At 37.3% G+C, this 14,083-nt stretch overlaps 1 long non-coding RNA gene across 1 annotated transcript in view; it reads right to left on the bottom strand.

The window, feature by feature from the left end:
- Window positions 1-11,088: 11,088 nt before the first annotated feature.
- Window positions 11,089-14,083, bottom strand: part of LOC105370766 (uncharacterized) — a 56,276-nt gene continuing 53,281 nt past the window's right edge. Inside the window, exon 3 of the long non-coding RNA XR_001751478.1 lies at window positions 11,089-11,337. This is a non-coding gene — a long non-coding RNA (uncharacterized LOC105370766). The remainder of the gene's footprint in view (window positions 11,338-14,083) is intronic.

Below are 14,083 nucleotides of genomic sequence, written 5' to 3'. Positions count from 1 at the left end.
TCTCCAGGACTTGTAACCTTTTTTTTCCTTCACTTGTTTCCAAACTGTGTCTGTGTTGTCAGACAAAATATTGATATAGCTTGCTTAGCTAGATTTAGTAGAATCTAGGACAGTGATTTATAGAGTAGAGGCAAATCCATGCTAAACCTCAAGGTCTGGAAGTTTAAGGTTTATGTTGATATCTATTTGGAATGGTATTTCCTCTACTTGCTTATAAAAGTAAAATGATGTGTGAATAGGTAACCAAGAAACACAAAGCATAATGTTTAACATTACTATGCTTGCCACTTGCATATTAGAAGGTGTGTTAGTACTTTAAGGATTCTCAAAGTGAAAACATGTCAATGCAATAAAGAAGGGCAGAGTAGTGCTGAGAGTACACTGAAGATTGAACAACATCTTTTTAGACTGAGAGGGACAGAAAGCAGGCTGCAGGCAGATGAATTTCACATTAGACTAAAAAAGGAAGTTTATAGCACATCTGGAATCTGAGCACATGTATATGTATGTATACACACACACAGATGGAGCTGACAGCATATATGGCACAGACGTGTGTATATGTATATACATGCACACAACATAAGCACATGTGTAGAGTATGTGTGTTTCTAAATATAAACACATAGACTATTATCATTGTCCTCGGGGTATCAGCTTGTCAATCCAACTACTGAGAAACAGGCCAGATTGGCCTTTTGCCTCTAGCAGGATGTCCCGAGGTAGGCTTTTGCGTGTGGCAGGCAGCCAGTACAATACATCACCACAGCTGGATTAGGAGGATAACGCCAACAAGGCCAGACCAGGAATAGGAATAAATCCTGATGGTAGAATTATGTAGGGGATTTTAGAGATTGCTTATCTTTTTTTAAAATCCCAAACCACTATTTCCACAGCCAAAACGGAAGGAAACAGTTGTCATTCAGAAAAGGGTGAAGAAAAGGACAGTGGGGCGCTGGAACTAGGACATGACCTTCTATGAAGTTGAGAGTCCAGCCAGCAATTACAGACTTGGGAATATTGCAAGACAGAGTTCAAAGGTGTCCAAGAAAGGCCTTTAGTGTTTGGATCCTGGATTCAAGTTTCCTGGCCCTATTTACTGAGCTTTTCCCCAGGAAGTTAGGGATTTAAAAATAGCTCCACTGTGGGGTCCAGGTTTACACAGTGTGTTGATATCTTCACATATAAGCTAATAGCATCTACCTTAAATGAATAGAACTTGTTCCATCCTGTAGATCCTGACATTTAATCTTTGGGTTTTAAACTGATTCTCAAGAATCTGCTTAAATCAGATTATTTTCTTCAGGAAGAATTGGAGTTTAGTTTGCCAATATCTACTTTGGTTACTATTTTAACACTTTAAAAATCTCAGAATGATTTTTAAATAATAAGCTCATAACAATACAAGAACATTTTGCTTATTAGCATAACCTTTTACCAACCACATCTACTCCTCTTATAAAAATATAAGAATTCAGAATTTGCACTTGGTGGCCATCTGTTTTCTCTCTGAACATTACTTTTAAGTCCCTTTCTTTGGGTTGTTATTAAGATATTTTAAATCATGATGTTCTTGCATAGCATGTCAGATAGAAATAATGATAATAAAATAAGTGTGTAGAGCAATTTACTTAGAAACAGGAGAGAGCAAAAGAAAATTAGCGAATGTTTAATTCTAGGCAGAAGGCCAAACTATCCCAAACCCCCTCCTCCATCTGCCCTTGCCATATTTTTAAAAACCCACCTTCAAGAAGTATAAATTTCTTTGTCTACAGCAGCAAAGTTTCCACAGAGTAATGTGTAATGCGGGGGTTAAGTTCAAGGCCCTAGAACCAAACTGACTGAATTCAACCCCCAGCTCTGCCACTTCATGGCTGAGTGACTTTTGGAAGAGTACTTAACTCCTCTGTGCCTTGGATTCTCCATCTGCAAAATGGGGGTGATGTTAGTCTAATGGATGGGTTTGTTGTGAGGCTTACCTTAGTTAATGTGGGGAATGCATTCAGAACTGTGTTTGGAAAGCACTTAGACAGCACATTGTAAGCCTCAAACTGCTGGCTATGATGGCTTTTGAAGAATGCCAACAATCATAGTCATCTGGTTCATTAGTCTGCCTTTAGTCAAGGCTGCACATGAATGTAGTCTTTAAGACCTTCATAGGTGACCACTTCCAGGTGTATTTGTATTCACGAACATGCTATTTCCTAATACATCTGGAAAAAATGTAGCTGCTCATCCTTAACTCCTTATTCAACTCTTCTTAATAGGAGCAAAGGGGATTTCTGTGGAGTCAGCACAGTATCATGTCCCTGGTTCCCCCTGGTTAGTGTATATTTGGACTGTGGCCAAATCCCCACTAAATTGTATATTAATCATGTTCATTGGATTCTGCTGGAAAAGAATGATAAAAGAACGAGGGAGGGAAGCATTTTTATTAGAGCTCAATGTGTATTTTGTTTTCTAAACAATGAGCATTTGGGAACTGAGCTTCTGTGTTAGGAATATTTGTATCTTAATGTAAAATAATTGCATCAGGAAGCATTTTGGTTTTAGTCCAACTTCAGTGCCTTTTAGAATGTGCTAGTATATAGCTATCCAGGTGTATTTTTTTTGCACATTCTCATAGCAGGAGGTGCGTGGCAGATGCTTTTACAAGCACAGTTAGGTGCAGAGCTGACCAAAGCTAGAAAACCTCACTTATTGGACAGACGAAGATGATTCAAAGCTTCACAACTGTTTATTCCCCATTACAGTATTTAAATGTTCAACCTTTTTGTTCTCCTAATCCCTAAAATAATTATGAAAATCTACTTTTAAGTTAGATAAAATGTTCCTTAGTGAGTTAAATTATATAATTTCAGACTTGCTGTGACTATTGACATTTGAAAAACAGATTTTCTAAATATTATTGGGATTTCAATTTAGCACAATCTACTTGAAAAACACATAAAAGAGATTATCTTCAACAATTGAGACTGTTACAGCTTTCCCTTTTATCCTCAAATTGTATGTTTATTCCAATTTTTCTACTAAATTTTGTTTTAATACATATGTTAGTATCCTTAAAGGTCTTTTATTGATTACCATGTTACTTCTCTGTAGTAAAAATGTGTGTAAATTAAAATCTTATTTATTTTTATTTGGTATTAGGCTCTACAGTAAAAATATTTTGGATTTGGTTACCATTATTAATTTTATTGGTAAACAAATTATGAAAACAGCAGAAATAAGTTATTAACCTCAATAACAAAAATTATGTACAATAAATTTCATTATTTCATTGGACATGTATTTCTTAATGACATGGATGTGTCTGGCTTCATTTTTAATTAATTTGTGTGTTTACAGATGAACTTTATTGCCAGAATGAAACAGTTCCATATCAATTATATTTATTTTCTCATTTATTGTTATTAGAACTGAAAAAATTTGTTCACACAAATAGAGAGATGGAAATTAAGGTTTCCTAACAGCATGCCATCTCAATTCTTGGTAGTCCTGTGAGCTATATGCCAAAATATCACATCCTAATATATCATCAAAAATTATTTTTAGTGCTCTACATCTAACAACTTGAATAGATACTCCTTCAGTTTTACCGAAAGAAAAGAAATATATACAACCTCTCTTGCAAAAGTCTTTGTCACCCAGTCATTACAGTCATTCACTGCCTTGATTTCTGGGAAGTATACCAACTAGGCTTTACCAAGACCTATCAGATAGCCATTCATTGTTCTTGCTACTCATTCGTTTTGAAGCATTTTATTTAGCCCTGATTCACTCAAAAGAGGGTTGGAAAAATAAAAATATTGTTAGTTTCAATACACCTGTGAATATATTTTAAAATAAAAATCCTTTCATCTTATCACATACTTTGAACATATTTTGTCAAAACTTGGAGCTGAAAATTCAGTTCATTCCATTTTGGGAAAATATTCACCATTTAACATACATGGTAATGTCAGTTCTCATTGTCTAAAACCAATCAATCAAATCAAACTAAATTTTTGATATTAAAAAAAGTCTGATGTTATTTTTCAGTTCACAAATATGTTATTACATGCCCCTGTGACAGCATCTTACTTATGAGTTCTAGTTCTAAGATACATTATGTAGATAAGTCAGCAGTAAGTAGGTAGCTAGTTATAAAGATAGATCAGGCATGGAGATTTGCCTTAAATTTGTCACCTTGAAGAAATTAGGCTACCTGACCCTTCCTATTTCTGCAGGCTCTCTCTTTGCTTTGCTTTCAAGGGGCTCCCCAGTGGGAACCATTCACTGCTTGACAATATTTGGCAGAGGAAAAGGGCAAGATTCTTGTAAGAATCCCATTCTTCCTTCTTAACAGACATATGCTTAAGAAAGAGAATGACCTTAAAATTTATAGTGCTTTGATTACAAGTGGTTTAACAGATAACAATATTAAACATTATTCCTTCTTTTGGCATGCTGGAGCGTTTTATACCATAGGGCCAGATGAGTGAATGGGAAAACTTTCTTTTGAAAAGCAGGAGAAGAAGGACAATTATTAAAGAGGAGGCAGAAGAGGAGAACGAGCATTGTGTCTCAGCCACAGGCCTATTACCAGACAAAAGTTCACGTGGATGTTGGAAACCAGCAAATTGATTTCCTTACAACTATTGCTGCCACAAAGACCTTAGAATGGCATACAGCCCAAGTACATGTATCCCATGTGAAGACTGCTAGATTATAGGACTCTAAGTACCTCTGCATGTGATCTTAGCAATGGAACTAGTGCATATCTCATGCTTAGGTAGGAAAAGGGACTACCTACTTGATATGATTTTAAGGGCTTGAGGAGCTTCTCTGTAAACCCCACTGCCCCAGGTTTTGATGCCTGTAATTCCACTACTAAAGATTCATTTTACCTTTATCACCTATAAAAGTGCTTTTTCAATCCCTGGGGAAAAAGTCTTTGAATCATGTATCCTTATAACTTTGCACCTTACACTTGTACTTTACAAGTGTGAATGAGATTTTGATCCTTGTCTGAAAACATGAGAGTGGGACAAGTATAAAGATTGAAGGAGGTAGAAGGAGATAATGGCATAAAAAGGGATTACCGGACCCAGACTGCTTCATTTTGTTTAAGGATCATTATGTGCTGTGGCTTCTAGGTCCAAGGGACTCTTGACATCTATCTGTGAGTTTCTATGATCCATAAATGCAGATGAGCTTAACTGCATGAATAATCATATCCACAGTTTATTGTGGGCTAACATACAGCAACACACAGCAATTGTGTGTTACAGAGTCCCAACATCAGTCTAGGTTGTATAGATATTTTATTACTACGTTAAACCTTGAAAGGATTCCATGTGTTAGGTATTATCATCCTGTTTTAGGAAACAGAAGTGTTCTCTGTTACACAGCTAGTATGTTTGCCTGGTTTCAATGTCTGTAGTCTTTATACTATATACAAATTGTCTTAATCTGTAAGACTAGGCCATGTTACACAAATACCAGATATCTTTCCATTCTCATTGTTTTGCTTCCACACACAATTATTAGTGAGGACTATATTAAAGTGAAGATGATTTAGGGAGATGCAAGAGAGTTAGCATCACACATTCTACAGCTATCAACCTCAGGCATGGCTCTTGTTCTTAGTCTCTTTTTGGCCTGAGGTGGAACAGTCTCTTCTTCCCATGTGTTCTAGTTCTGTTGGCTCTTTTTCTTCTCTTCCTGGACATCATGATTTCCAACCTCAAATGCCTCTCTCCTCTAGTAAAGAAACTCATTAAGGTCAAAATTCTGTCCCCAAACTGCATACCTTTTATTCATTCAAATCAAAGCTATAACAAAGTCGGACCCTACTATTACTCTTCAAAACCATTTAGAAGCTACTTATTGTGTCTTTAGCATGCTCTTTAAGGGTCTCATGCTCATTTCAAGGAGCTCCTCATGGAAATGTTCCAACAAATGTGGGCTTCCCACTTCAAGGAATTGTTAGGCCTACTGCTAAGATGATCAAATATTATTTATGTTGTTTGCATTATAATTCCATGTTAAGTAGGTAATACGAGTAAGCAATGAGGCAGGAGATGGTCACTTTTTAGTACTCTTCATTGCTATATAGAATCAGAAGATGATAACTTCTCTGTATTTTTCCTTTGTGAGTATAACACCTTCCCTATCAAGTTCACAAAGTTGTTGTGAGGATCAAAATACATTACTTAATAAATTACTTATGTTTTCCTTGAAAACTATTTGTTCTGAAAGGTATGAAGTACTATGCAAATGGAAATGACATTTATCATCATTATTCTAACAAGTTCTTCTTTAAAGAAATTAGGATGTTAGGCAGATGAGTCATATGAAAATAAACTCTCTGGGTCTAGAAAAAGATCTGTGTGTAATCATTTACTGAACAAAGACAAGTAAGTCACATGTGCATCCAGGCTTACAACCTCTGGCTTATAGGAAAAAATTATAAATAAGATAAATCTAAACTTCTTATCAGCATAGAAGGACCTTCAGAGTTTGGCCTCTCCTTCCTTTTCAATCTCACCTTCTCTCTCTCTTCACACCCTATACTAACCCTCCTGAAAGCTTTATACCTTCTTACATCTATGTCTTTGTACATGCTGTCTCCCAAGCCTGGGATTTCCTTTCGGGTTTGTTGGATGAACTGCCACTCAACCTTTAAGACACAAATCTGACTTCCCTAGGCAAAGTGAATTGTATGGTTCTCTCTACTGCATACTCCTGCAGGGTTTGGCATGCAGGCCTACTGTACCTTTTTTTTGGAGATGGAGTCTCGCTCTGTCGCCCTGGCTGGAGTGCAGTGGTGCGATCTCAGCTCTCTGCAACCTCCACCTCCCGGGTTCAAGCAATTCTCCTGCCTCAGCCTCCCAAGTAGCTGGGAATACAGGCACATGCTGCCACCCCCGGCTAATTTTTTGTATTTTAGTAGAGATGGGTTTTCACCGTGTTCCCCAGGCTGGTCTTGAACTCCTGAGCTCAGGCAATCTGCCAGCCTCAGCCTCCCAAAGTTCCAGGATTACAGGCATGAGCCACCGCGCCTGGCTGCATGCCTACCGTTCTAATTATTCCTGCTAAAAATTATACGCCTTGGCTGTCTGCTTTTTGCTAAGCAATTTATTAAGCCCTTTACATTGAATATCTCAAATGTTAGTGATTAAGGTGTAATCATTTATTAATCTGTTCATTCAAGTTCATAACAGCTAGCTTTGTTGGCTGCATGAAAATAGAACCTTTCCAGGAAATGTCAAAAAATAATTTTGAACAAATTAACATACTGAAAACCCAGTTTGTGGCAAGCACAGTACTTGGCACTGGGATAAGGTAAATGGGAGAATTTCTGTCTTTAGGGAGGTCACAACCTAGTGGGGAAGCAGGCATTTAAACCAACAGTTGCAGTTTAAAAAGACTTAACATAGAACAGGAGAAACCTGACACTGCCTAAGAGTGGCCATGCATCCGCTACCAGATGATAAAGAGAAACAGGACAGGGGAAAAGCTTAATGAAGCAGGAAGTTATTCCCGGTGCTACAAGAAAGTGGAATACAAAGTTTTGCCTATACAGACAAAACTTTGGGGCACATTGTAAACTTGGGGTTGCTTTGTAAAGTGATAACAAATGTCATGAGGTCATAGGGTAGTTCACAAAATATTGATCAAAACCAATGATTTTTATCAGCAGCTTCTCTAAAGCCTAGAGCTCAACTAGGAAAAGTTGCCATCTTGCGCCGAGCATTCCATCTACCTTCAAAATGGAAAATATAAACATGAACAACACATTTGGGGTGACTGTGACCACCTGACCTCCCTCCTACCTTAGGAGACATTTTTCTCATTCCTCAGCTGGAACTCTTGCAGATTTTGACCTAGGGATTATCAATAGCAGAGACATTTCTCTCTTTCTCATTCTGTTTCCAACTACAGAAGAGGTCATTGATAAAAATGAACACTATTATGGTTTGTTTGTGTCCTCCACCACTTCATATTCCTATGTTAAAACCTAATCCCTAATACAACAATATTAAGAGGTGGAGAATTTGGGAGGTGATTAGGTCATGAAGGCATAGCCCTCATGACTGGAATTAGTGTCCTTATAAAAGGGGCCCTAAGAAGCTTGTTACCCTTCCACCACAACTCAGCTAGAAAGTGCCATTTATGAAGCAGAGACCGAACCCTCACCAAACATGGAATCTGCAAATGTTACAGGAAAGGGGTCCCAATCTAGACCCCAAGAGAAAGTTCTTGGATCTCACACAAGAAAGAATTCAGGACGAGTCCGCAGTGCAAAGCAAAAGCAAGTTTATTAAGAAAGTAAAGTGGTGAAAGCACAGCTACTCCACAGACAGAGCAGGGTAATCCTGAAAGTACGAGGAAGAATGTGTCCACCCTACGTACAATACTTGTTTATATTCTGGATAAAAAAAGATCATGAAGCGATGTGCTCTGCTCCAAGGGTTTGTAATAAAGGATTAATTTTCTTAGTTACTATATTTGGCAAGAATCATTATTATTACCTTTAAAGCAAAATTAGAAATGCCTTTGTTCTCAAGATATTGGGATATTAGGCCATTCCCAAGTCTGGGTCTGTTTAGTAAACATTATCAATCTGTTTCCTTAACTGTAAACATCTGGAGGCTAGGAATACCTTTCTGGGAGTGCAGCCTAGCAAGTCCCAGCCTCATTTTCCTAGCCCTCACTCAAGATGGAGTCACTCTGGTTTGAACGCCTCTAACACTGGTGCCTTGATCTTGGACTTCCTAGCCTGTAGAACTGTAAGAAATAAACTTATGTTGCTTATAAGTCATTCAGTTTATAGTATTTTGTTAGAGCAGCTCAAACAGACTAAGACAAACACTGAGAATGAAAAGTAGCCTCAACATAATCTCCAACCAAATCATAACCTACTACCATCCATAGACTCCGAATTAATGGACTTTTACAATAAGACATGTTAACATTGTTAGAAATGAAGAAATTATTTATTTATTTATTTTTTCGTGGAGACAGGGTCTTGCTATATTGCCCAGGCTGGATTCAAACTCCTAGACTCAAGCGATCCTCCTGCCTCGGTCTCCCAAGTTGCTGGGATTACAGGCATGAACCACCATGCCTGGCCTAGATATAAAGAAATTATATAAAAATGCATAATACAAAATATGGCAACATTTTAATTAGATTTAACAGAGCTTCACATAAATTAATACAGGACGCATCTGAAATATGAGAAAAACTGTAGTGTAGAAAGTTGTAACAGAGATTAAAAATATAAACATCTGTTTAGATGTTAAACTCATGGAGGCAAGTGTTTGTCTTAGCTATTTTGTTCTGCTTTCTTTTATTTTGTTCAACTGGCTCATGGGTAAGAGGAAGAGAAAAAAATAATGGCAAAAATATAAAAATCAATTTTAGTATATGCTGTATTTAATATATATTAAGATTTTAATACATGCTAAAGTTAAAAATGTAATACATATTGATTTGTTCAAAATTTGTGTTTGACATTTGTTGGAAAGTTTCTATTTTAATACAACTAACAAACTTAGTTGTTATTAATTTGAATTAACAAATTAGCAAGTGATTACACCTTAATAACAAGAATTTGAAATATTTAATGTAAAGGGCCTAATAAATTGCTAGAAAAAGCAGATAGCCAATGTATCTGGGTCTTAAAGGATGAGTGGCAGTTCATCCAACAGACCAGAAAGGAGATCCCAGGCTTGGGAGAAAGCATATGCAAAGACAAGGACATAAGAAAGTGTAAAATGCATAGCAGGTAGTTTAGGGTGTGGAGAGAAAGAGAAGGTGAGATTGAAAAGGGGGCAGAGGCCAAACTCTGAAGGTCCTTTTTTGCCATGATAAGGAGTTTAGAGTCTATGTCATTTATCATTTTTCCTACAATCAGTGGTTTCAACTCTAGATGTACACATGAGTTACCTGGGGAGATTTAGAAAATACTCATGATCATCTCCCTGCAACACGTACCAACACATAGACAGATTTTGCAAATGCAAATATAGGACACACAGTTAAATTTGAATTTTAGATAAACAATTATTTTAGTCAAGTATGCCCAGTGCAATATTTGGGACATACTTACAATACAAAGTATTTATCATTTCTTTGAAATCCAAATTTAACTGGATATCCTGTATTTTTTTCTGGCCACCCTATTCCATCAGAACAAGGGAATAGAATCTCTGAGGTGTGGCCTGGCCACCTGTGTTTTGGAAAGCTCTCCAGGTGTTTTTCATGGGCAGGCAGGGTTAAGAAGCCGTGGTCTAAGTCATGGACAATCATCCAAGTATTTCAAACAAGGGGGTGGCGTGTTTAGAAAGACCACTGTGTAGAGACTGGAAGAGGGAGAGGCTGGTGGCAGAAAGATCTGTGAAAAGATATTGCAGGCATCTCGCTTAGAGATGGAGTTGGCTTAAACCAAAGCAGTGGTAGTGAACATGGAGAACAAAGAAGATCCTTGACGACTGGCATGGTGACTAATAACTTGTGGGAAGAAAGGGGCACACTAGGAGCAGAGGATGGCCACTCACCATCCTTAGCTCTACTCCTTTCCTCCCTCCTATAGCTTGGGTTTGAGCACGGCTGCTAGGCAACCATGGACAGGATACTTATCCTGTATAAGACTCAATAATTCTTTTATAAAATGGGGAGGGGGTAATATTTACCTATTTTGGAAAACTGTTGTAAGGATTAACAGAAAAAGATACATTGAAAACCCTCATTATTTAATAAGGCATGCTAAGCACCCAATATATTCTGGCTGTTGTTACTATGTTGTTGGGATTATAAATTTAAGCAGATTCTAACACTTTCTCTTCGCCCTCACATCCTCTCTCCAGTTCTTTGCTGTTTCTGGTTTCTTAATCCTGTTTCTCTCCCCTTTTCTTCTCCCTCCCTCAAAAATGGCTTTTTGAATTCTACAGTGTCAGGAGATACCTGTTCAAGAACCTATTTGCTGAGGCCAGTTTAGACTCACTTCAGCAGCAGGAAGATAGAATCAGGCTGAATGCGATAGCCATTACTAATTCCAAGACTAAGTAACTGTAGAATGGCTTAGAAAATCACAGAACTATTCCACGATTCCATTCTTTAGATAGCTGAAGTAAAAGAATAACAGGCTCCAAGAATGTCACAATGAAAAGAGGTTTAGCATGTATAGACCTTCTACAGTGTTATGTAAATCAATATAATACCTTCACATAGGCGCAAGGTTTTTACTTAACTTTTTTAACCCGTGAAGATCTCCTTTTACATCCAGTATTCTGGAGAGGCTACAGGTAGAAGAGTCAAGTGGGCAGGCTCTTTCCTGGATGGATCCTGAATCAAAAATAAATTAATAAAACTTATGAACGTCATTTTGGGAGCCACCTGGGAAATTTGCATATGGACTGTATCTTAGATGACCACATGAATGAATGCTTATTTTTATAGTATGGTATGGCAATGGATTGTGGTTAAATGTGAGAATCCTCTTATTTTTAGGGGTATATCATTATAAAGGCTATAACTTACTTTTAGATGGCTTAGCGAAAATAATTTGAAAAATAAATACACATACAGACACACATAGGTGAATACATATCTCATATATGTATATATGAACATGTGTATGTGTATGTGTGTGTGTAGAGAAACAGAAAGGAAAACACAACAAAATTGATGAATCTAGCTGAAGGGTATATATGCGTTTGTTGCGCTACTTTTAAAAAGAAAATAAATTTAAATTTAGAATAAAGAAGAAGCAAGAAAAGTACGCTGAAAAATAATTAACACAGAATATTGTGGTAATGACTATTATTGTCAAAAAAAAGGTGGAGGAGCAGGTTCCAGAATCAGACAGAATTTGGTTCTAATCTAAGTTGGATCACCTGTTTATTAGCTAGGGAACATTGGGCAAATTAGAGAATCTCTCTAAGCCTCAGTTTTCTCATCTATAGAAACAGGGTAATAATAACAATAACAAGAATAGCTAGGTGTTATTTAACTGTCATTGTTGTAATGATTAAATAATAAAGGTAACATATTTAGCCCCAGTGACTGGCACATGCTAAGAGCCCGGAGCTCTCTTTGACCATTGTAATATCAGAGGACCTGAGAGTAAATTCAGGAAACAGCTAGCTGTATGTTCACTCTATGATTTCCGCTGGGTTACTTTTTTCTTTAGGATTTTTAAAATTTGTCTGCAAGAAACTGGGACATCAGTAAAAAGCTGGACCACGCTTTTGCAGGATAAATAAGAAGAAACAGAAAGCCTCTTTCTGTAGAGTAGGTAGCATAAAGGTGGCATTCCCTCTCAGTGTCATCTCTAAAGCCAGCAATAAACAAATCATAAAAAATGTGCTTGGAAATTTCAGCTCTACAGCAATAGCTGAAACAAAAGCAGAAAATTGTAGCTCTCTGTGTAATAACTAAGCCTCTCGTTATGTGCTGCTGTATTAAATATAAAACATTTTCATTTCCTTTGTATAGGAAATTCAATAGGGCCTGAAAAGGGGGTCAACCAAGTACTGCGACTTTCACAATAAAATGTGAGTAGTGCTAATATTCCTTTTCCAACTCTCGAGTGACTGCAAATAACCAAACAGATAAAATGTAGCTTTCATAAAACTGGAGGTTTGGTGGAGAATTAGCATGAGACTTGTGCTCTCCACTTGTTAGGGGAAGTTTGGCCAAGAGCTCAGATTTATGCCATGAAATTTAAATGGTTTTCTCCTGAGATTTTCTTGACAATATCATTGTATGTGGCTGAGTTAGTTTATTGGCACCTTTGTATGGGGATTGTTTTTGGAAGAGTGGGGAGAGTGTCGGGTAGGGGTGAGGGTAACCTATTGCTTTAAGAAACCCAGAACTTATGAGGCTCTAGGGAAGTTTAAACCCCAGAATTTGGAAGAGTAACACATGCAAGAGACTCCAAATGGTGAGGCAGAATCAACAACATTTACAAAACTACGTTGGGAAAAAAAAATAACATGATAAGATCACAGTTCTTTTGTTGGGGTGTTTATAACATAACACATGGCTTCATCTCGCCAGGCTTCTGAAATGAGAATCATATTGCTAGAAGATTTTTATGGATCAGGCTTTAAATTCACATGCAAGTTTGCAGGGAATTTTGTACAAAGATGAAACTCAAATAGAATTAAAACCCAGGTATTTTAGCATCCAGGAAAGGTTATTCATGGTGTGCATGATACAATTTTACTAACTTAGAAAGAGGAGATCACAGATTGAAGTTAAGGAGGGAGGTTAGGCCTATAAGCATTTCAAGCAGAATTTAATTACAAAAAGGGTGGCAGAATAATGGTGCACATAGCTAAAGGCAGCAATAGATGCAGGAATTGTAAATCAGCTCAAGCAAGCTGAGAGAAAAAGGAGATCAAAAGGAAAACAAATCAACTTTCTTAAAAATATCCTAGGGTTAACTGGAGCCAGCCTCAGTGGATCAGAGAGTCAAGGCTTTGTCCTTTCAACGTCCCTGTGCTTTGAAAAAGACACAGAAACAGCAGTTCACTGATTTCCACAAAGGCCGAAGACCTATGTCATCCACCCAATTGAATTATTTTGTGCTCTACATGTGCTCACCCTATATTGTCCGTCCCCTTACAATTTTATCTCCCCATGTATACATTTCTCACACCCTGGGTAGGACACAATTATTTCATTCTTGCCAACATTCACTATATAATCACCTTGGGAACTGACATTTCATTCTTGCCCTTGCAATACACAAGAGGAATTAAAGGTCCATGTCCTCTGTCTTTAATGTCCTATTCCTTCCATGCATTTCAAGGATAGTAGCTAAATATCAATGCAAGAAAGAATTCATCTCAAGCTGAAACTTAAAAAAAACACACACATCCAATAATAATTATACTGTTTTTTAAATAACTATATTTCTGGACAAGGAAATAAAAAGAAGCAAGGCCAACATAAAAATGCCAAAATAGCTGAGAATGCTTGGGAGATGGAGCTCACAATGGGACTGCCAGAAAGCTTGAGCTAACATTAGAAACATGTGAAAGCTGGCAACTCAGGCTCACGTGGAGCTAGAGAAACAGTGTTT

The sequence above is a fragment of the Homo sapiens genome, chromosome 15 (assembly GCF_000001405.40).
Source record: "Homo sapiens chromosome 15, GRCh38.p14 Primary Assembly".
Lineage (NCBI taxonomy): Eukaryota > Metazoa > Chordata > Mammalia > Primates > Hominidae > Homo > Homo sapiens.
Note: the sequence above shows the minus strand (reverse complement) of the source record. Positions and strands in the feature narration are given on the sequence as shown.